This window comes from Homo sapiens, chromosome 19 (assembly GCF_000001405.40).
Source record: "Homo sapiens chromosome 19, GRCh38.p14 Primary Assembly".
In the NCBI taxonomy this organism is placed as follows: domain Eukaryota; kingdom Metazoa; phylum Chordata; class Mammalia; order Primates; family Hominidae; genus Homo; species Homo sapiens.
The window spans coordinates 17,405,655-17,426,745 of record NC_000019.10 but is presented as its reverse complement, the minus strand read 5'-3'; the positions used below and the strand labels follow the sequence as shown (position 1 = coordinate 17,426,745).

At 50.7% G+C, this 21,091-nt stretch overlaps 1 protein-coding gene, 1 long non-coding RNA gene and 1 pseudogene across 4 annotated transcripts, besides 10 other annotated features; 1 reads left to right on the top strand and 2 right to left on the bottom strand.

Moving 5' to 3' along the window:
• Positions 1-1,413: 1,413 nt before the first annotated feature.
• MVB12A (multivesicular body subunit 12A) lies at positions 1,414-21,005 on the bottom strand. Of its 2 annotated transcripts, NM_001304547.2 has the most exons (10): positions 20,975-21,005; positions 20,450-20,669; positions 6,335-6,433; positions 6,112-6,208; positions 4,288-4,414; positions 3,129-3,248; positions 2,947-3,053; positions 2,679-2,740; positions 2,069-2,125; positions 1,414-1,815 (listed from the first exon to the last, which is right to left on the bottom strand). In NM_001304547.2, exons 4-10 carry the CDS (start codon positions 6,119-6,121, stop codon positions 1,753-1,755), a joined length of 546 nt encoding a protein of 181 aa, NP_001291476.1. In that variant the 5' UTR covers positions 6,122-6,208; positions 6,335-6,433; positions 20,450-20,669; positions 20,975-21,005; the 3' UTR covers positions 1,414-1,752. The 2 variants fall into 2 exon arrangements, with proteins under 2 accessions (NP_001291476.1, NP_612410.1); NM_138401.4 differs by lacking the exons at positions 20,450-20,669; positions 20,975-21,005 and adding an exon at positions 6,521-6,699.
• Positions 2,368-2,893: an enhancer, noted in NCBI's record as "H3K4me1 hESC enhancer chr19:17534662-17535187 (GRCh37/hg19 assembly coordinates)". NCBI's record gives its function as "activates a minimal SCP1, AML or CMV promoter by ChIP-STARR-seq in primed H9 embryonic stem cells {active_cell/tissue: H9 hESC(primed)}" and the evidence as "EXISTENCE:reporter gene assay evidence [ECO:0000049][PMID:30033119]".
• Positions 6,373-6,602: a silencer, noted in NCBI's record as "silent region_10344". NCBI's record gives its function as "represses an Ori minimal core promoter by ATAC-STARR-seq in GM12878 lymphoblastoid cells {active_cell/tissue: GM12878}" and the evidence as "EXISTENCE:reporter gene assay evidence [ECO:0000049][PMID:35858748]".
• Positions 6,743-6,952: a silencer, noted in NCBI's record as "silent region_10343". NCBI's record gives its function as "represses an Ori minimal core promoter by ATAC-STARR-seq in GM12878 lymphoblastoid cells {active_cell/tissue: GM12878}" and the evidence as "EXISTENCE:reporter gene assay evidence [ECO:0000049][PMID:35858748]".
• Positions 7,113-7,162: an enhancer, noted in NCBI's record as "active region_14272". NCBI's record gives its function as "activates an Ori minimal core promoter by ATAC-STARR-seq in GM12878 lymphoblastoid cells {active_cell/tissue: GM12878}" and the evidence as "EXISTENCE:reporter gene assay evidence [ECO:0000049][PMID:35858748]".
• Positions 8,458-9,715, top strand: HMGB3P29 (high mobility group box 3 pseudogene 29; annotated as a pseudogene).
• On the bottom strand, positions 11,010-21,060 carry BISPR (BST2 interferon stimulated positive regulator). 2 transcript variants are annotated; one of them, NR_130765.1, is made up of 5 exons: positions 20,751-21,060; positions 20,450-20,669; positions 13,642-13,649; positions 13,441-13,525; positions 11,010-12,355 (listed from the first exon to the last, which is right to left on the bottom strand). It is a non-coding gene; the product is annotated as a BST2 interferon stimulated positive regulator (long non-coding RNA). The 2 variants fall into 2 exon arrangements; NR_130766.1 differs by having other exon boundaries at positions 13,441-13,649; positions 20,975-21,060.
• Positions 11,045-11,832: an enhancer, noted in NCBI's record as "OCT4-NANOG-H3K27ac hESC enhancer chr19:17525723-17526510 (GRCh37/hg19 assembly coordinates)". NCBI's record gives its function as "activates a minimal SCP1, AML or CMV promoter by ChIP-STARR-seq in naive and primed H9 embryonic stem cells {active_cell/tissue: H9 hESC(naive and primed)}" and the evidence as "EXISTENCE:reporter gene assay evidence [ECO:0000049][PMID:30033119]".
• Positions 18,878-19,404: an enhancer, noted in NCBI's record as "H3K4me1 hESC enhancer chr19:17518151-17518677 (GRCh37/hg19 assembly coordinates)". NCBI's record gives its function as "activates a minimal SCP1, AML or CMV promoter by ChIP-STARR-seq in naive H9 embryonic stem cells {active_cell/tissue: H9 hESC(naive)}" and the evidence as "EXISTENCE:reporter gene assay evidence [ECO:0000049][PMID:30033119]".
• Positions 20,105-20,154: an enhancer, noted in NCBI's record as "active region_14271". NCBI's record gives its function as "activates an Ori minimal core promoter by ATAC-STARR-seq in GM12878 lymphoblastoid cells {active_cell/tissue: GM12878}" and the evidence as "EXISTENCE:reporter gene assay evidence [ECO:0000049][PMID:35858748]".
• Positions 20,355-20,404: an enhancer, noted in NCBI's record as "active region_14270". NCBI's record gives its function as "activates an Ori minimal core promoter by ATAC-STARR-seq in GM12878 lymphoblastoid cells {active_cell/tissue: GM12878}" and the evidence as "EXISTENCE:reporter gene assay evidence [ECO:0000049][PMID:35858748]".
• Positions 20,455-20,514: an enhancer, noted in NCBI's record as "active region_14269". NCBI's record gives its function as "activates an Ori minimal core promoter by ATAC-STARR-seq in GM12878 lymphoblastoid cells {active_cell/tissue: GM12878}" and the evidence as "EXISTENCE:reporter gene assay evidence [ECO:0000049][PMID:35858748]".
• Positions 20,705-21,084: an enhancer, noted in NCBI's record as "active region_14268". NCBI's record gives its function as "activates an Ori minimal core promoter by ATAC-STARR-seq in GM12878 lymphoblastoid cells {active_cell/tissue: GM12878}" and the evidence as "EXISTENCE:reporter gene assay evidence [ECO:0000049][PMID:35858748]".

Below are 21,091 nucleotides of genomic sequence, written 5' to 3'. Positions count from 1 at the left end.
AAACAAATGTACATAAAACAAGGTTGTATGAATTGGTGGATGAAAATGGTGTGGCCTGGGCCGGGCGCAGTGGCTCACACCTGTAATCCTAGCACTTTGGGAGGCCAAGGCGGGGGATCACTTGAGGTCAGGACTTTGAGACCAGCCTGGCCAACAAGGTGAAACGCTGTCTCTACTAAAAATACAAAATACAAATTAGCTGGTTATGGTGGCCCAAGCCTGTAGTCCCAGCTACTCAGCAGCAAGGGGTGCCGGCTGAGGCAGGAGAATCACTTGAATCTGGGAGGCAGAGGTTGCAGTGAGTCGAGATCATGCCACTTCACCCAGCCTGGGTGACAGCATGAGGCGCTGTCTCAAAAAAAAAAAGAAAGAAAAAAAAAAAAGGCCTGGGCGCTGTGGCTTACACCTGTAATCCCAGCACTTTGGGAGGCCGAGGAGGGTGGAGCACAAGCTCAGGAGATCGAGACCATCCTGGCTAGCACGGTGAAACTCTGTCTCTACCACAAATATAAAAAATTAGCCGGGCGTGGTGGTGGGTGCCTGTAGTCCCAGCTACTCAGGAGGCTGAGGCCAGAGAACGGCGTGAACCTGGGAGGTGGAGCTTGCAGTGAGCCGAGATCACGCCACTGCACTCCAGCCTGGGTGACAGAGCAAGACTCTGTCTCAAAAAAAAAAAAAGAAAAGAAAAGAAAAGAAAAAAGACAGCAATTGCTGGGTTTCAGTCCCAGTTGTGGCCTTAGCATCCCCATCTCAGTTTCTTTATCTGGAAAATGGCAACAAAACCTGAGCTTCCCAGTGGGTTGTAGGGAGACTGAATGAGGTAATAATGGTGTATCGCGTGTTGGGGATGTGGCCACTGCAGTAGAAACAGTACTTGTTTTATTATTATGCCCAATGATGAAGGGCCGGGACAAGGTCTTCTCTATGATCTAGAATCCAGACTCACTCACTCCCTGAGCCTGTTTCCCACTCTGTAGAATGGAAGACCCAAGCCAGGCGCGATGGTTCACGCCCATAATCCCAGCACTTTGGGAGGCCGAGGCGGGCGGATCACCTGAGGTCAGGAGTTCAAGACCAGCCTGGCCAACACAGTGAAACCCCGTCTATAGAAAATACAAAAAATTAGCCGGGCGTAGTGGCGGACGCCTGTAATCCCAACCACTCGGGAGGCTGAGGCAGGAGAATCGCTTGAACCCCAGAGGCGGAGGTTGCAGTGAGCCGAGATCGTGCCACCGTACCCCAGCCTGGGACACAGAGGGAGACCCCCGTCTCAGAAAAAAACAAACAAACAACAACAACAACAACAACAACAAACGGGAGACCCAGCAGCACCGCCTCCCTGCCATGATTTCACCCACTTGCCCGGTGCAAGAGTGCCTAGTGTGGACAGGCGGCAGGATCAGGACTCCAGAGGGCGAGAACCGGGTAGTGTTTATTGCCAGGAGGACACCCGCACAGCCTCCGGACCCCAGAGGGTTTTGACACAAATGACTTAAAGGCACTGGCTTCTGTCCAGCTCCAGCCCTGCCCGGCAGGGCGTGGGGGCGGAGACCCCATCACCACGCAGCCTCGACCCGCCCCCTCCTCCAGGGCTGCAGCTCCGCCCAGTGGCTGAAGATAGCAAACGCCTTGCAGGGCGAAGGTTCCCAGGATGCAGTGAGTGGGGGTGGCCCCAGGATGCAGTGAGGGGGGGTGGCCCCAGGCTGGCGGGGAGGTGGAGTAAGGGGGCTCTTTCCGCGGAAGGGTGAGGGACTATGAGACGCTGGGGGGCAGGCGGGCAGCCGCGGTCTTCTCCACCACGAAGCCGTAGTTATACTGGGGGATGGGGAGAGAGAGAGTGAACAGGTGCCAGAGTAAAGAGAGGGCCAAAGGGGGAGTGACTGAGGAATGGCAGAGTGGGTACTTAGGGACTTGAGTGGTCTTCTGCCCTGGAGAGATGGTGTGTGTCTGGGGCAAAGCGGGGATGGGGAAAACTGGGACAGCCTGGGGCGGACGAGGGGCGGGTGCCGGCCCCTCAGGCACCTCCTCCCTAGCCCTGCACCCACCTCCTCCCTAGCCCTGCACCCACCTCCTCCTCAATGTCCGCCAGAGACTTGATGGTCAGGTCCCCAAAAGCAGAGAAGGCCTGGCGGGCAGAGGTGGGTCAGCCTTGGGCCCGATCTCAACCTGAAACCCCCTTTCCTTCGTCTTCAAGGGGTCCTGCCCTCCCCCCAACACTCCCCGAATATTCCCTCGGACATCCCTCCCCCTTATTTTTCTTGTTTGTTTTGTTTTGTTTTTAGAGACAAAGTCTCTAAAGCCGCGCCTGGCTAATTTTTGTATTTTCAATAGAGACGAGGTTTCACCATGTTGGCCAGGCTGGTCTCGATCTCCTGGCCTCAAGTGATCCACCTGCCTTGGTCTCCCAAAGTGCTGGGATCACAGTCGTGAGCCACCATGCCCAGCATCCCTCCCCCTTCTTGTCACAGCCTCTAGCTACTGGTGTCCAGCTGCTTTCTCTGGATGGATCCCTCCCCATTCTAAGACTGAAGACCTTCCAGCTGCCACCTGGAGGTGACACACTCCAGCCCCAACCCAGGATGTGGCCCTCTGTGCTGGGGCACTGGATACAGGGATGTCCTGGCACCCAGAATGGTGATGGCAGGCGCAGACCCAGGCTCCCTGAGACCCCGACTCACCAGGGGGCTGCAGCTCTTGCCCTCAAATCGTGGGTGGAGTGTGAAGGGAACCCCATCCATGGCTGAAAAACACGTGCGAGGGGAGGAGGTGAGGTGTAGGGAACTGCCCACCCCACCCACAGAGGCCCAACCCGCACAGCCTGGCTCCTTCAGTCTTTACAGAATCCAGAGTTGGGAGAGGGAAGTAGGAAGATCCTTCCTGGTTGTGTAATCTCAAGACAGTCACACCCTCCACTTCCACGCCTCAGTTTCCCCACTCTGTGCTCACCTGAGATGCCATAGAGGCTGGAGGCCTCGTAGATGGAGTCATTCCTCCGCAGAGTGGATGCCCGAGAGCCCAGCCTTGACGCTGTCCGCTCCAGGAGGCCGCCCTTACTGGAGGTGGGATGACTCAGGTTAAGCCTCATCCTCCCACAACGGCCACCCCCACTCCGGTGCCTGAGGACTCACCTTGGCTGGCTGGCTGCATCCAGAGAGAGGCCCTGCATGTCCCGGCTGAGACCTCGGGGCTTGGGCACTGGCCTCGGGGCCTTGGCCTTCTTGCACCAGATGGCAAAGCCGCCCATGTCCCTGGACCAGGAGGGAAGGTGGGAGGGATGCTGGCCCGGTGTGGGGCCAGGGTTGAGGATAGCCCCTGGAGAAGGCGGGGGACCCGGGCATGCAGGTGACCTCTGTCTTTTGGGGGAATTTTTTTTTTTTTTTTTTTTGGGGACGGAGTTTCGCTCATGTTGCCCAGGCTGGAGTGCAATGGCGCAATCTAGACTCACTGCAATCTCCACCTCCCAGGTTCAAACGATTCTCCTGCCTCAGCCTCTGGATTAGCTGGGATTACAGGCAACCATGCCCAGCTAATTTTTTTTTTTTTTTTTTTTTTTTAAGTAGAAACGGAGTTTCACCATGTTGGCCAGGCTGGTCTCGAACTCCTGACCTCAGGTGATCCGCCCGCCTTGGCCTTCCAAAGTGCTGGGACTACAGGCGTGAGCCACCGTGCCCAGTCTTTTGGGGGATTTTTGTTTCAGCATCTTGACCCACACCCGAAGCACCACACCAAACTAATACTGCTGGGTTCAAATCACCGTTCTGTCTACTTTATTTTTATTTATTTTATTTTATTTTTGAGACGGAGTCTCGCTCTGTCGCCCCAGACTGGAGTGCAGTGGCGCGATCTCAACTCACTGCAACCTCCGCCTTCCAGGTTCAAGTGATTTTCCTGCCTCAGCCTCCCAAGTAGCTGGGACTACAGGCGTGTGCCACCATACCCGGCTAATTTTTTGTATTTTCAGTAGAGATGGGGTTTCAACATGTTAGTCAGGATGGTCTCGATCTCCTGACCTTGTGATCGGCCCGCCTCAGCCTCCCAAAGTGCTGGGATTACAGGCGTGAGCCACCGCGCCCAGTCCTGTTATGTCTACTTTAGACACCAAGTCACTGACTCCTAATGACAGTCCTACAAGATGATATATATGTCCCGGTTTTAACATGCAGAATCTGAGGCTCAGAAGGTAGAAGAAGGAACAGGAGACCTCAGGGGTGTCCTTGAGGGTCAGATTGGTGAGATCATGAGTTGGGAGGGCAGGGAAGGTGGCTAGACACTGGGGGGTGGCCCTACCCTATTCGAAGGTATCCAGGCACTGTCTTGGTCTTCCCACTCAGCCGGACATCAAACACAGCCGTGTCCGTGGCTCCCAGGGGCAACAGCTTCACACACATGCGTTTCTTCTTGGACACAGAGGCCTCTGGGAGTGGGGGGTAGGGGAGTGAGAGAGGGAAGCCAGGCAGGGGTGGGAAGGCCCAAAGATGACTCTAGGATGAGGCTCGCCAGGGTGCTGTTTAAGGCAGCCACATGGACAACATTGGGGATGGGGGTGGGAGGAGTGGTTAAATCATGAATGGTATAGATGAAGGAGGGGATTCCATGCAGCCTTTAGGAACCGCTGGAGTAGGCTGATCTTTGGTGATATGAAGCTGCATTCATGGGGTGGCTAGCTGTGGAATCGGACAGAGCTGGGTGCCCATCGTGGCCCTCAAAACTTACTTTCCATGAGCCCTCTAATCCTATAGAGGTTGGACAACTAGCACCCATGAGCCAAATCTGGCTCAAGGTCTGTTTTCTTTTCTTTTCTTTTTGAGACAGAGTCTCACTCTGTCGCCCAGGCTGGAGTGCAATGGCGCAATCTCAGCTCACTCCAACCTCCGCCTCCCAGGTTCAAACAATTCTCTTGCCTCAGCCTCCCAAGTAGCTGGGACTACAGGCGCCCACCACCATGCCCAGCTAATTTTGTATTTTTAGTAGAGACAGGGTTTCACCATGTTGGCCAGGCTGGTCTGGAACTCCTGACCTCAGGTGATCTGCCCGCCTCAGGCTCCCAAAGTGCTGGGATTACAGGTGTGAACCACCACACCAAGCCTAAGGCCTGGTTTCATACAGCTGATGTGTTAAGAGTGATTTTTACATTTTTAAGGAATTGTAAAAAAATTGAATATGCAAAACACATCATCTGCCCTGTAAAGCCTAAAATATTTACTATAAGGCCCTTTACATAAAAGTTTGCCAACTCTAAGAAAAAATAAAGAAAAAAAGTTTGGCCGGGTGCGGTGGCTCACGCCTGTAATCCCAGCACTTTGGGAGGCCCAGGCAGGTGGATCACCTGAGGTCACGAGTTCGAAACCAGCCTGACCAACATGGAGAAACCCCGTCTCTACTAAAAATACAAAATTAGCCAGGCGTGGTGGCGCATGCCTGTAATCCCAGCTACTCTGGAGGATGAGGCAGGAGAATCGCTTGAACCCGGGAGTCGGAGGTTGTGGTGAGCTGAGATCGCGCCATTGCACTCCAGCCTGGGCAACAAGAGCGAAACTCCGTCTGAAGAAAAAAAAAAAAAAAAAGGTTTGCCAACTCTAGTATGAATGAATATAGCCTGAGTCAAATAAAAATGACAAGAAAGGGTGGGAAAGTTCAGGTGGGGCTGGGAGGGCTGCACTAGGGTTGTGGGCCCAGAAGAGGAGGGGTAGGGAAGGGTGAAGGTGACATCTGACGGAGGACGGAGAATGAGCTACAAAAAGGAGAGAAAAAGTGCCCCAGGCAGAGGAAGCGGCGTGTGCAAAGCCTGGAAATGAAAAAGAAAACTGCGCAGTGGTTTTGCTTGGCTATGGTGTAAAAAGACACAAGTAGCACAACAGTAGTGAAACAGGTGGCGTGGACTGAACACTTAACTCGAGGATGCAGGCTGTGCCAATCATATCACACATTTTGAATCAGGACAGGGGATGTCGGTCCACCCTAGGGCAGGGCTCTGAGTCCTCAGCCAACCCTGTCATCACCCCGTGTGCCAGGGGGCAGCCGAGGCTCAGATACCGCGCGCCCGTCGTCCCTCCTCCCCCGCTCCTCCCTGCAAGGGACCCGGACAACTCTCGCCTCCGAAGCAGCCCTTACTGGAATCCATGGGGTCGCAGACGGGGGAGAAGCCCAGCGGCAGGGGGCTCTTGTCCACCACGATCTGGATATCGGCCACCACGTTCTCCTGCGGGTTCTGGGGGTGGAAGGGGGACACGGCGAGGGTGGCTAGCAGCGGGGACAGCGCACCTGGCATAGGGCACCGTGAATGGGCAGGGGAGGTGGGCAGACCCTGGTGGTTCCGAAGGTGGGCACCTCTTACCTCTAGGCTGCCCAGAGAACTAAGGCACAGGAAGTAGCCAGATTTCTGCGCGAAGCTCTTGCCAAAGCTGGCGGGTGCCCCCTCGACGGTGCAGGAGATCTACCGGGAGGACGCGGGTCAGCGCCGGACTCCCACCCCACAGCGACTGCCTCCCCCATTCGACCCCCGCCCCTCGACGCCGCTCACCGCGCTGAACCCCCGCGGCGGGGGTGCAGAGGCCGACGACCAGGCCAGGCCAGCCAGCGGCGCCGAGTCTGTCCCGGGTACGGGATCCATCCTGCGAGCCGAGCGCCGAAGGCGGGGTCGCGGGGCACAGCCTCGAACCTCGGAGCGCCTCCCGACGGCAGCGCTCGCGACCGAACTACAACTCCCAGAAGGCCATGCGGGGGGGGGGGGCGGAGATTGCCCGGAAGCGCAGTATACGCGTGCCCGAGGAGCTGCTGGCCAATGGCGTGGGGAGGCGGAGCCTCGCCACCACGCGTCGCCAGGGTTGCGCGCGTGAGCGATGATGGCGGAAAAAAAGGTCTTGCCGGCTTTCCGCGCCCAGCAACTTCCGCCGGAAATGCTACGGCACAGGACCAAGAGACTCGTTCTCTGCAAGTCTGCACTACGTTCCCCAGAATTCCTTCCGGCCTCAGCTGCTAGTCTAGAAAAAAGCTCGGTGCTTAACGGAAAAGTTGGGAGCTTTGTGGCCGCGCGCAGTGGCTGACGCCTGTAATCCCGGCACTTTGGGAGGCGGAGGCGGGCGGATCATGAGGTCAAGAGATCGAGACCCTCCTGGCCAACGTGGTGAAACCCCTTCTCTACTAAAAATGCATTGTGAAGAATCTGCAATTCCAGTTCTGGGAAATCATCCCAAAGGAAATCATCTGTGGGATACGCAGCTATTGATTTAAAGAGCGAGTACTATGGACCATCATGAGCTTTGAAATCTTGGGTATAACTTGAAGATTTGTTCACAGGCACAATACGTTTAAAAAGCGACGTATAAAAGAATTTATTGCCTGTAGTCCCAGCTACTGAGGATGCCACCAGCAAACCGAGTTACCTCCCCACTTTGTGTAGGTGGCAAAGAAGGAACATCCAATCGGAAAAGGCAATCAGGTTTTATTCACTGGCCAGGAATGGAGAAGGAGAGGCTCTCACTCTAACTGCCCCTTCTCCCTCAACAGTAAAAAGCATAACGTTTTATTGTTTCTTCCCCTGGGTACAGGAAGGGAGAGGAATGCTAGCATGTGCAGGGTGGGACTCCAGACACGCAGGCTCAATTCATGAGCCTCAATTCCTGGGTTGTCTTCATACAACCCATCTACACAAAATGGAGATTTTCTTTTAAGAGAAGGAATTTTAGCATTATAATTATATATTGATGATCTAAAGTCGACTAGAGGTCGTCTGTTCCAGTTTGTGGTGATTTAGGGATCTTATCTTCCTCTGGTATCTGGTCAGGGGTCAAGAAGGTCTGGGGACATCCCTGGCTGTCTGCAATCTTTAAGCAGCTGTGCCTTTTTTTTTTTTTTTTTTGGACTTACAATAAGAAAGAGAACTTTCCCAGTTATTTTATCAGGGCTGTCATGGCAACAGGGTAACAGGGAGGCTGAGGTGGGAGGATCGCTTGAGTCCAGGAGTTTGAATCTAGCCTGGACAACATAAGGAGACCCCAGTGTTTAAAATGAAAGAAAGAAAGGGAAAAAAAGTATTTACTATAATAATATGCTTTTAAGCCGGGCACAGTGGTTCACACCTGTAATCCCAGCACTTTGGGAGGCCGAGGCGGGCGGATCATCTGAGGTCAGGAGTTTGAGACCAGCCTAACATGGTGAAACCCCGTTTCTACTAAAAGTACAAAAAACTATCCAGGCGTGGTGGTGCGCGTCTGGAATCCCAGCTACTAAGGGGGCTGAGGCAGGAGAATCACTGGAACCCGGGAGGTGGAGGTTGCAATGAGCTGAGATCGCGCCATTGCACTCCAGCTTAGGCAACAAGAGCGAAACTCGTCTCAATAATAATAATAATAATAATAATAATAATAATATGCTTTTTTACACCCATTGGGGGAAAAGTTTAGAAAAATAGCGAACAAGTGTCCTGCGCTGCCCAGACTAGCAAACAATACAGTCAGGATGGCTAATGGTGACCCCAAGAAACCAAAGGGCAAAATGTCTGCTTATAGTTTTTTTGTGCAGATGTACAGAGAAGAACATAAGAAGAAAAACCGGCCTGGCACAGTGACTCACGCCTGTAATCCCAGCACTTTGGGAGGCCAAGGCAGGCGGATCATGAGGTCAATAAATTGAGACCATCCTGGCCAACATGGTGAAACCCCGTCTCTACTAAAAATACAAAAATTATCTGGGCATGGTGGCAGGCGCCTATAGTCCCAGCTACTCGGGAGCCTGAGGCAGGAGAATCGCTTGAACCTGGGAGGAGAAAGTTGCAGTGAGCGGAGATCGTGCCACTGCACTCCAGCCTGGGCGACAGAGTGAAACTCCATCTCAAAAAAAAAAAAAGGAAGAAGAAGAAGAAAAACCCAGAGGTCCCTGTCAATTTTGCAGAATTTTCCAAGAAATATTCTGAGAGTTGGAAGACAGTGTCAGTGAAAGAGAAGTCCAAATTTGATGAAATGGCAAAGGCGGATAAAGTACACTAGGATCGGGAAATGAAGGATTATAGAGCAGCTAAAGGGGAAGCAAGAAGAAAGAGCCTAATGTCCCCAAAAGGCCACCGTCTGGACTCTTATTTTTTATTTTATTTAATTTATTTATTTTATTTTTTAAAATTTATTTATTTATTTATTTATTTTTTTGAGACGGAGTCTCGCTCTGTTGCCCAGGCTGGAGTGCAGTGGCGCAATCTCGGCTCACTGCAAGCCCCGCCTCCCAGGTTCAAGCTATTCTCCTGCCTCAGCCTCCAGATTAGCTGGGACCACAGGCGCGTACCACCACGTCTGGCTAATTTTTGTATTTTTAGTAGAGATGGGGTTTCACCATGTTGGCCAAGCTGGCCTCAAACTCCTGACCTCAGGTGATCCACCTGCCTTGGCTTCCCAAAGTGCTGGCATTACAAGCATGAGCCATCACACCCAACCAACTGTCTGGATTCTTCATGTTCTGTTCAGAATTCCACCCCAAGATCAAATCCGCAAACCCTGGCATCTCTATTGGAGATGTGGCAAAAAAAAAAAAAAAAAAAAAAAAAGCTCTGGGTGAGATGTGGAATAGCTGAAGTGACAGTGAAAAGCAGGTTGACGTCACTAAGGCGGCAAAGCTGAAGAAGAAATATGAGGAAGAGGTTGCTGACTGTAAGTTGAAAGGAAAGTTTGACGGTGCAAAGGGTCCTGCTAAAGTTGCCTGGAAAAAAGTGGAAGAGGAAGATGAAGAAAGAAGAGGAGGAGGACAATGGATGAGAAAAACTTTCTATGCCAGGAGTGATGGCTCACTCCTGTAATCCCAGCACTTTGGGAGGCCAAGGCGGGTGGAGGTCAGGAGTTCGAAACCAGCCTGGCCAACATGGTGAAACCCCATCTCTACTAAAAATACAAAACATTAGCAGGGGGTGGTGGTGCACACCTGTCGTCTCAGCTACTCCGGACACTGAGGCAGGAGAATTGCTTGAACTCAGAAGGCGGAAGTTGCAGTGAGCCAAGATCATGCCACTGCACTCCAGCTTGGGTGACAGAGGAAAAAAAAAAAAAGGGTGGTTGAGACCAGGCACAGTGTCACCCCAGCACTTTGGGAGGCCAAGGTGGACGGATCACTTGAGGTCAGGAGTTGGAGACCAGCCTGGCCAACATGGGTGAAACCCCATCTCTACTAAAAATACAAAACAATTAGCCAGGCTTGGTGGCAGGCGCCTGTAATCCCAGCTACTCCTGAGGCTGAGAGAGGAGAATTGCTTGAGCCCCAGAAGTGGAGGTTTCAGTGAGCAGAAATGGTGCCTCTGCACTCCAGCCTGGGTGACAGAATGAGACTCTGTCTCAAGGAAAAAAAAAAAAAAAAAGCAGGCTGGGCACGGTGGCTCAAGCCTGTAATCCCAGCACTTTGGGAGGCTGAGGTGGGTGGATCACAAGGTCAGGAGTTCGAGACCAGTCTGACCAACATGGTGAAACCCTGTCTCTACTAAAAATACAAAAATTAGCCAGGCTTGGTGGCATGCGCCTGTAATCCCAGCTACTCAGTGGCATGCGCCTGTAATCCCAGCTACTCAGGAGGTTGAGGCAGGAGAATTGCTTGAACCCAGAGGCAGAGATTGCAGTGAGCCCAGATCACACCACTGCACTCCAGCCTGGGCGACAGAGCAAGACTCCGTCTCAAAAAAATAAGTGGTTGAGTTTTTGGCAAGGCCTGTTATTTAAACCATAGCCTAAATGTCTTCCAAAGTTAGCTCGACCCAGTAGCCCAGGAATAATTAAGGGAAAAGTAAGGTGGGGTTTGGGTTAGCTTAGCTTACTGTTCTAATGTTCTCACTGATATAACTTTTGCAATGGTGATTTCATCAGTTGGGTGCAGGAAGATTGTGAGGGTTCTTTTGTTTTGTTTTGTTTTTGTTTTTTGAAACGGAGTTTCACTCTTGTTGCCGAGGCTGGAGTGCAGTGGCGTGATCTCGGCTCACTGCAAACTCTGCCTCGCAGGCTCAAAGTGTTATACCCAAGCGAGTTAGAGAAAACGCCACACTTCGAGACGAATTAAGAGTCCTTTATTTAAGCCGGCAGCCAAGAGAAGGCTTGACTTTCCAAAATTCTCTCGGCCCCGAGGAAGGGGCTTGATTTACTTTTATACCTTGGTTCGGAAGGGGAGCGGAGCTCAAATGCAATAATTCTACAGAAGTAAAAACATGCAAGAATCAAAAAACAAATGGTTACAGAGAAATAAACAATTTAAAAGACAAATGGTTACAAAAAAAGCAACGGAACCAGGTGCCGGGCTCTAAATCCTTCATAAGAGTTAGATATGGATGCTATGCCAGACACAGACTCAAGGCTTTATGTTGTTATGCTTTTGAGCAAAATCCTGGGAACTTCGTACATTGTTTGTTCCAGTACCTTATCAGCTAATTGGGCTCCTTTGAAATGCTGAGGATCTGCTTACGCAGGTTAACTCTTTGAGGAAGGGGGTTGGGTAAGTAGCCCTTAATGTCTTGTAAATCAAGGGGCCAGATGGCGTTCGTCAGGCTTTCCCAGCTAAGGGAGAGTCTACTCATATGGGAAACAAGGCTAGGTAATTAAGGAGACAAAAAGGGAAAATTTAAAAATAGGGTTAGTAAAAACAAGGTTAAAATAGGGTTAGTAAAAAAACAAGGTCAGGCATTACAAAAGGATTCTCCTGTCTCAGCCTCCACTGGGATTACAGGCTCGCACCACCAAGCCCAGTTAATTTTTGTATTTTTAGTACAGGCAGGGTTTTGCTAGTTCACCCAGGCTGGTCTCGAACTCCTGGACTCAAGCGATCCGCCAGCCTCTGCCTCCCAAAGTGCTGGGATTACAAGGGTGAACCACCCCACTGATCAAGGGGAACATATTAATACTTTGTTTGTTTCTTTGTTTTGAGATGGAGTCTCACTTTCTTGCCCAGGCTGGAGTGCAGTGGCATGATCTCAGCTCACTGTAGCCTCCACCTCCCAGGTTCAAGCAATTCTCCTGCCTCAGCCTCCCGAGTAGCTGGGATTATAGACACACGCCACCACACCCGGCTCATTTTTGTATTTTTAGTAGAGACGGGGTTTTACTATGTTGGCCAGGCTGGTCTTGAACTCCTGACCTCAAGTGATCCGCCTGCCTCAGCCTCCCATAGTGCCGGGATTACAGGCATGAGCCACTGAGCCCAGCCAGAAACATATTAATACTATAAACAACACTCAGCCCTGGGCTGGTTAAGAGGCTGGAGACTGAAAGGTGGTGTTGATTGACCATGGACCCAGGGAAATATCTGCAGTGGGTTAAGGATACTCTGTGTGTCTTACAAAACAGAGACACAGATGCTGCCTAAGAACGAGGTCCTCCTGGAACCGGTGCCAGGGAAGGATCTGGAAGGAAAAGAAGAATACCTGTGATAGGTGTGAGAGAGGAGTGCCACTCACTGTTCACTGCAGCAGCAGGCGACAGGTGAATTCTGAATTCTTTTTTTTTTCCTTTTGAGACAGAGTCTTGTTCTGTAGCCCACGCTGGAGTGCAATGGTGCGATCTCGGCTCACTGTGACCTCCGCCTCCCGGGTTCAAGCAATTCTCCTGCCTCAGCCTTCCAAGTAGCTGAGATTACAGGTGCCCACCACCAAGCCCATCTAATTTTTGTATTTTCAGTAGAGACAGGGTTTCACCATTTTGTCCAGGCTGTTCTCGAAGTCCTGACCTCAGGTGATCCACCCACCTCAGCCTCCCAAAGTGCTGGGATTACAGGTGTGAGCCACCACTCCTGGCCGAATTCTGAATTCTTCTTTATGGGAAGTGAGAGCTTGGGACATAGGCATCCCCTTGGACCCAGTAACCCCACTTCTGGGAGTTCAGTTTAAGGAAAGCCTGCAGTCAAGTCCAAAACTTATCAAATGACAAGGGCAAACTATGATGGGGAACTGTAATGTACAAAGTGCTAAGCTAAGCACTTTCTATATATTGCTTTTTCCTGTCAAAGAAAATAAAAATATGAGGACCTTCCAAAGGCAGTTTGCCAAAGGAAAAGTTGTTGTTGTTTGTATTGGTTTGTTTGTTTTTGAGACATGGTCTCATCTGTTGTCCAGGCAGGTGTGCAGTCATGCGAACATGGCTCACTGCATCCTTGATCTCTTGGGCTCAAGGGACCCTCCTACCCCTTGGGCTCAAGGGATCCTCCTACCCAGCCTCCTGAGTGGCAGATCACCTGAGGTCAGGAGTTGGAGACCAGCCTGGCCAACATGGTGAAACCCGGTCTCTACTAAAAATACAAAAATTAGCCAGGCGTGGTGGCAGGTGCCTGTAATCCCAGCTACTCAGGAGGCTGAGGCAGGAGAATTGCTTGAATGCAGAGGCTGCAGTGAGCCAAGATCACACCACTGCACTCCAGCCACCACAGGCGCAGCCACCATGTCCAGCTAATTTTTAAATGTTTTGTTGAGGTGAGGGGTGGGGGGAAACTCACTTTGTTGCTCACACTAGTCTTGATCTTCTGGGCTCGAGTGATCCTCCTGCCTAAGTGTTGGGATTACAGGCATGTACCACCGCGTCTGTACCAAAGGGAAAGTTAGGTCTGGAGACTGAGCCACACAACACTGAAGTTCCTTTCCCGAATGCATGGCTGTTGCTTCCTGATTGTGTTAAGTGGTTAAGCATTGTAGCTTACCCAGATGCCTACAAAAAGAAAAAAAAAAAAAGCCCTCACACATCTCCAGATGATCACCCTCACAAATTGTTCATACGTAAATTCTTTGCTTACTCCTAAATCTTTCCAAGATGTCCAGCCTCCCGTAAACAAAGATACGTAACCTTAGGTTTACAAGCTCTATGTGACCCCTTGTCCACGGAACCAGTCTGCTGAATTTCATCCTGACAGCACTGATTACAAGCTTACTTTCCCCGGTGCAAAACAAAGACAGGATGACATCCATCAGCCCTCCACCAGACCCTGAGACAGCTGCAAAATTAATCTTTCCTTTACTCCTTCTTCAAATGTTTATCTTAGGTATAGCTATAGTTTCAGTTTCCCTGGACACTAATTAAAGTCAGAATAATGTAACTGATGAGAAATCTCACCGCCTATTTTCTTTTTACTGTTTTCTCTGAGTTGATGGAGATACTGTTTCAGTTTCTAATTTGTGTGGACATTCCAATTGACTGGGAAGCAGCTGTTATCACACCCCCGCTATAAGAAAGCAGAGGTTGGCTGGGGGCAGTGGCTCACACCTGTAATCCCAGCACTTTGGGAGGCTGAGGCGGGTGGAACACTTGAAGCCAGGAGTTTGAGACCAGCCTGGCCAACATGGTGAAACCCCGTCTCTACTAAAAATACAAAAATTAGCCGGGCGTGGTGGCACACACCTTTGATCCCACCTACTTGGGAGGCTGAGGCAGGACAATCACTTGAACCAGGGAGACAGAGGTTGCAGAGAGCCAAGACTGCATTACTGCACTCCAGCCTGGGCAACAGAGTGAGACTCCATCTCAAAAAAGAAAGAGAGAGAGAAAGAGCAAAAGAGAGAGAAAGAAAAGCAGAGGCCCGAGGGAAAGGAGCTGGTTCGCCATGATGGAATTTGAGCCCAAGTCTGACTCCAAACCTGCACTCAGTTCTCCCCAGGGCAGGGCTTGTCACGTCTGGTGGCACCTCTGACACTTGGGGCTTGATCATTTACTGTGGGGGGCCGTCCTGTACACTGTAGTGTTGAGCAGCATCCCTGGCCTACATCCCTAGATGGCAGCGGCACTCCCAGCCCCCGCGGTGACAATAAAAATGTCCCCTGGAGCAGAATCGCCCCCACCCGCTGAGCGCCCTGGGGCCAGCGACTTCCTACAGGCATGGAGTTGTCCTCAGAAGCCCATCCGGGGCCACATCTCAGTATCCCAAAGTAAGTGAAATATGCATGTAGTGTAATAAACAGAAATGAAACAGCTGAGGGATGGTTGCGGATGATCTTTGCTCCTATTTTTTTTTTCTTAGCCAGGTGCAGTGGTTCACACCTATAATCCCAGCACCTTGGGAGGCTGAGGAAGGAGGATGACATGAGCCCAGGAGTTTGAGACCAGCCTGGGCAACATACAGAGATCCCGTCTCTACAAACAATACAAAACTTAGCTGGGCGTGATGGTGGTGAGTGGCTGTAGTCCCAGCTACTCAGGAGGCTGAGGCAGGAGGATCGCTTGAGCCCAGGAGTTTGAGAAAAGCCTGGTCAACATAGTGAGACCCCATCTCTACAAAAAAAGTAAAAAAATTAGCCAGGTGTGGTACTGAGCATCTGTGGTCCCAGCTACTCGGGAGGCTGAGGTGGGAGGATCGCTTGAGCCCAGGAGGTCAAAGGCTGCAGTGAGCTATGATCACACCACTGCACTCCAGCCTGGGCGACAGAACAAGAGCCTGTCTTTAATAAATAAATAAAAGAGGGGAAATTGGGTGTAGGGAATGTGGGAAATTCTATTATCCTCACTGTTTTTTTTCTGCAAATCTAAAACTATTCTAAAATAAAATGTTGGCCGGGCACGGTGGCTCACGCCTGTAATCCCAGAACTTTGGGAGGCTGAGGTGGGCAGATCACGAGGTCAGGAGATCGAGACCATCCTGGCCAACATGGTGAAACCCTGTCTCTACTAAAATACAAAAATTAGCTGGGCGTAGTGGCGCATGCCTGTAATCCCAGCTACTTGGGAGGCTGAGGCAGGAGAATTGCTTGAATCAGGGAGTTGGAGGTTGCAGTGAGTGGAGATCGCGCCACTGCACTCCAGCCTAGGTGACAGAGTGAGACTCTGTCTCAAAAATAAATAAATAAAATAAAATAAAATAAAATGTTTCTTTTCTTTTTTTTTTTTTTTGAGACAGAGTCTCACTCTGTCGCCCAGGCTGAAGTGCAGTGGCGCGATCTCACTGCACTGCAACCTCTGCCTCTGGGTTCAAGCGATTCTTCTGCCTCAGCCTTCTGAGTAGCTGGGATTACAGGCACCTGCCACTACGCCTGGCTAGTTTTTGTATTTTTAGTAGAGACAGGGTTTCACCATGTTGGCCAGGCTGGTCTCGAACTCCTGACGTCAGGTCATCCACCCGCCTCAGCCTCCAAAGTGCTGGGATTACAGGCATGAACCACTGCTCCCAACTGAAATGTTTCTCTAAAATAATAATAATTATATATATATATGTGTATATATATATGTGTGTATATATATATGTATATATATGTATATATATGTGTGTGTATATATATATGTGTGTGTGTATATATATATATATATATATATATATATATATGAAGCTAAAACCAAAAGAATGCTAGCGGCTGGGTGCAGTGGCTTACTCCTGTAATTCCAACACTTTGCGGGGGCTGAGGCAGGAGGATCTTTGGAGCCTAGGAGTTTGAGACCAGCCTGGGAAACATACTGAGACCCCCATCTCTACAAAAAATAAAAAATTAGCTGGGCGTGGTGGTGCACACATATAGTCCCAGCTACGCCAGAGGCTGAGGTGAGAGGATTGCTTGAGCCCAGGAGGTCAAGGCTGCAGTGAGCTATGATTGCACCACTGCGCTCCAGCCTGGGCAACAGGACAAGATTCTGTCTCAAAAGAAAATAAAAAAAGAAAAAGAATGGTAGCATAACAGTTTCCATTTCTAATTTTATTGCGAAAGTAATTGTGGTTTCTGCCATAACTTTTAGTAAGCATAATTAATTAATGCCATTAAAAGTAATGGAAGGCCGGGCGTGGTGGCTCATGGCTGTAATCGCAGTACTTTGGGAGGCCGAGATGGACGGATCATGAGGTCAGGAGTTCGAGACCAGCCTGGGTAACATGGTGAAACCCCGTCTCTACTAAAAATACAAAAATTAGCTGGGCGTGGTGGCGGGTACCTGTAATCCCAGCTACTCAGGAGACTGAGGCAGCAGGATTGCTTGAACCCAGGAGGCGGAGGTCAGAGGTTGCAGTGAGACGAGATCGTGCCAATGCACCCCAGCCTGAGAGACAGACCGAGACTCCATCTCAAAGAAAAAAACAAAAAAAGGCTGGGTGCGGTGGCTCAAGCCTGTAACCCCAGCAATTTGGGAGGCCGAGGCGGGCAGATCACCTGAGGTCGGGAGTTTGAGACCAGCCTGGCCAACATGGAGAAACCTAAACCTCTCTACTAAAAATACAAAATTAGCCGGGCATGGTGGCGCATGCCTGTAATCCCAGCTACTAGGGAGGCTGAGGCAGGAGAATTGTTTGAACCCAGGAGGCAGAGGTTGTGGTGAGCTAAGATTGCATCATTGCACTCCACCCTGGGTAACAAGAGTGAAATTCCATCTCAAAAAAAAAAAAAAAAAAAAAAAAGTAATGGCAGAGGCTGGGAGCGGTGGCTCATGCCTGTAATCCCAGCACTTTGGGAGGCCAAGTCGGGTGGATCCCTTGAGGTCGGGAGTTCGAGACCAGCCTGGCCAACATGTCGAAACCCCGTCTCTCCTAAAAATACAAAAAGTAGCTGGGCATGGTGGCAGGCATCTGTAGTCCCAGCTACTCAGGAGGCTGAGGCAGAAGAATCACTTCAACCCAGGAGGCAGAGGTTGCAGTGAGCCGAGATTACACCACTGCACTCCAGCCTGGGTGACAGAGGGAGAATATATTTAAAAATATAAAATAAAATATAGGCCGGGCACGGTGGCTCACGCTTGTAATCCCAGTACTTGGTGAGTCCAAGTTGGGTGGATCACCTGAGGTCAGAAGTTTGAGACCAGCCTGGCCAACATGGCGAAACCCCATCTCTACTAAAAATGCAAAAAGTAGCCAGGCATGGTGGCAGGCATCTGTAGTCCCAGCTACTCAGGAGGCTGAGGCAGGAGAATCGCTTCAACCCAGGAGGCAGAGGTTGTAGTGATCGAGATCGTACCACTGCACTCCAGCCTGGGCGACAGAGAGAGATTCCCTCTCAAAAAAAAAAAAAAAAAAGTAATGGCAGAAACCGCAATTACTTTTGCACCAACCAATATATAAAAATACATTATATATTTAAAAATATAAAATAAAATATAGGCCAGGTGCAGTGGCTCACGCCTGTAATCCCAGCACTTTGGGAGGCTGAGTCAGACAGATCACCTGAGGTCAGGAGTTCAAGACCAGCCTGGTCAACATGGCAAAACCCTGTCTCTACTAAAAGTACAAAAATAAGCCAGGCATGGCGGTGGGCGCCTGTAATCCCAGCTACTCAGGAGGCTGAGGCAGGGGAATCGCTTGAACTCCGGAGGCAGAGGTTGCAGTGAGCCAAGATCGTGCCACTGCACTCCAGCCTGGGCAACAAGAGCGAGACTCCATCTCAAAAAAAATTAATTAATTAATTAATTAATTAAAACAAAATAAAATAAATATATGTACTTAAAATATATATATATATTTATTTTTAAATAGGGATAGGATCTCTCTATGTTGACCAGGCTGGTCTCGAACTACTGGCCTCAAGCAATCTTCCCATCTCAGCCTCCCAAAGTACTAGGATTGCAGGCATGAGCCACTGCACCCATCCCACCATTTGTAATTGTGGGCGGCAAGCCACCCAGGTGCCAAGGCAAGAGACTGAGGACACGAGCTGTTCCAGTATAATAAAATATAAAACAAGAATAGTTATACCAAATATAGATCTTAGAGATATATGAATATCATTAATCATTAGTTTGTAGTAATTACTCTTTATCCCAATAGTATAATAATCCTCGGTCTACAATCATAACCTAGGAAAAACCAGGCCATACAGAGATAGGAGCTGAGGGGACATAGTGAGGTGTGACCAGAAGACAAGAGTGCAAGCCTTCTGTTATGCCCGGACAGGGCCAGCAGAAGGGCTCCTTGGTCTAGCGGTGACGCCAGCGTCTGGGAAGACGCCCGTTGCCCGAGCGGACAGTGGTCTAGCGGTAGCGAAAAGTGTCAAGGAACAACACCCACTACTTAGCAGACCGGGAAAGGGAGGCTCCTTTTCCCTGGGGGAGTTTGGAGAAGACTCTGCTCCTCCACCTCTTGTGGAGGGCCTGACATCAGTCAGGCTCGCCCGCGGTTATCTGGCAGCCTAACCGTCTCCCTGTGATGCTGTGCTTCAGTGGTCACGCTCCTAGTCCGCCTTCATGTTCCATCCTGTACACCTGGCTCTGCCTTCTAGATAGCAGTAGTCATTTAGTGAAAGTACTAAAAGTCTCTGATATGCAGAAATAATGGCATAAGCTGTCTTTCTGTCTGTCCCCTCTCTCTCTCTCTGCCTCGGCTGCCAGGCAGGGAAGGGCCCCCTGTCCAGTGGACACGTGACCCACGTGACCTTACCTATCATTGGAGATGACTCACACTCTTTACCCTGCCCCTTTTGCTTTGTATCCAATAAATAACAGCACAGCCAGACATTCGGGGCCACTACCAGTCTCCGCGCATTGCTGGTAGTGGTCCCCCGGGCCCAGCTGTCTTTTCTTTTATCTCTTCGTCTTGTGTCTTTATTTCTACACTCTCTCGTCGCCGCACACAGGGAGAGACCCACTGACCCTGTGGGGCTGGTCCCTACAGTAATTTTAAAGGGAAGAGCAACAAACTTTCGGTTTGCAGGGCTGGGACTGTTTACAGCTGCAAAATTTAGAGAGGACATCAATCTATTATTATCCACATTTTACAGCTGGGGAAATCAATGCTAAGAGAGGAAATTCATTTGCCCAGAGGTGCACCACCCTGGCCTCCAATGTGCAATTCATGCAATTGTGATTTCCGACCTGGTCCCAAACTAACCCTAAAGTTAGCAGGCCAGAACAGTGCTGCTCAAATAAGTCAGCTTAGTCAAATAAGTCAGGCAAAGGTCGTGTCTTTGCACCTGGAGTCCTGGCCAGGCTGGTAGGTCCCTCCTCCTGGGACAAGTTCACCCTCAGAATTTTCAGCAAGATCATCTCCCACAGCTTGTTAATTGGTTCTTGGTTCTAAGTGATTTTTTTGTTTATTGGTTTAAGAGATGGGATCCCACTCTATCACCCAGGCTTGAGTGCCGTGGCACAATCATAGCTCGCTGCAGCCTCAAACTCCTGGGCTCGAGTGATCCTCCTGCCTCAGCCTCCCAGCCTCAGCCTGGGACCACAGGCATGTACCACCATGCCTGGCTCTAAGTGGCTTTAATGGGGTCCTTCTGAGGGATGTTGGAGTCAGGGCCTGGGGGGAGTTCCCCAGGCCTTCTGGGAGGCCTGGGCTCTGGACTTGACCTCGCCTACTGTCTGGCCCTGCTGAAAAGAAAAAAAAACATGGAAATGGCAGACCTAACAGAATCTGGGCTGTGGTCAGGATGTGGCTGAAGAAGCCACAAGAAAAACATGCAGTCCCCTTTCAGCGGTCATGCCCAGCAGTTGGGTGCCGATAATGGGCCTGATTTCCTGTAGGAAGCCCTGGCTCTCTTGGCCACATGGACAGTGTCTGAGGCTGGCCCTGTTATTCCCCTTTGCAGATGAAGAAACAGGCTCAGAGAGTTTACCTGGTATCCTGGAGTCCCAGGAGCACTTTTTCTGGAAGTAGGAGCTTGTTTCCTGCAGGTGCCAAGACAGAGACCGACATTGTTTGTTGGCTGGGTCGGTCTCCCAGTTTTCAGCTGGCTCCAGTCTCACCTGTTGCTCACACACCCTCCATGTCTCCCATAGTCCCCTCGGTGGGGACAGAGGCACTGGATGAAGCCCTGCTCGTCACCACAGAGACACCTGAACACAAAAACCAGTCCCTGGGGTCAGACCCAGGCCCCGCCCCCAGACCCAGGCCCTGCCCTCACTCCACCACGCAACTGTGCAACCTCAGTTTCCCCAGGTGGAGACCGGACCAACAGTGATGGCCTCTGCCTCTTCAGGTCATAGTACAGATGAATACAGGCTGGCACGGCCTAGGCACTCAGTAACACACAGCAGAGGCACAGGGACTTAAGATGGAGTGTCCCAGGCAGCCACAGTTGGCTGGCACCCAGCTGGGAAGGGCCCAAGGGCTTTTAAAGCAGGGTGAAAAAAAAGCCCACCTCCTTTCTGGGAAACTGAAACTGAAAACCTAATTAATCCTCTGCCTGTAGGTGCCTCATGCAAGAGCTGCTGGTCAGAGCACTTCCTGGAACTTGCTATTGGTCAGGACGTTTCCT

Excerpts from the sequence above, each read along its gene's own strand:
- MVB12A (NM_138401.4), bottom strand. The coding sequence starts at position 6,610 with ATGGATCCCGTACCCGGGACAGACTCGGCGCCGCTGGCTGGCCTGGCC. Across the intron at positions 6,434-6,520 it reads CGCCGCGGGGGTTCAGCGCG|ATCTCCTGCACCGTCGAGGG; the intron begins GTGAGCGGCGTC and ends TCCTCCCGGTAG. Across the intron at positions 3,054-3,128 it reads GATGCAGCCAGCCAGCCAAG|TAAGGGCGGCCTCCTGGAGC; the intron begins GTGAGTCCTCAG and ends TCCCACCTCCAG.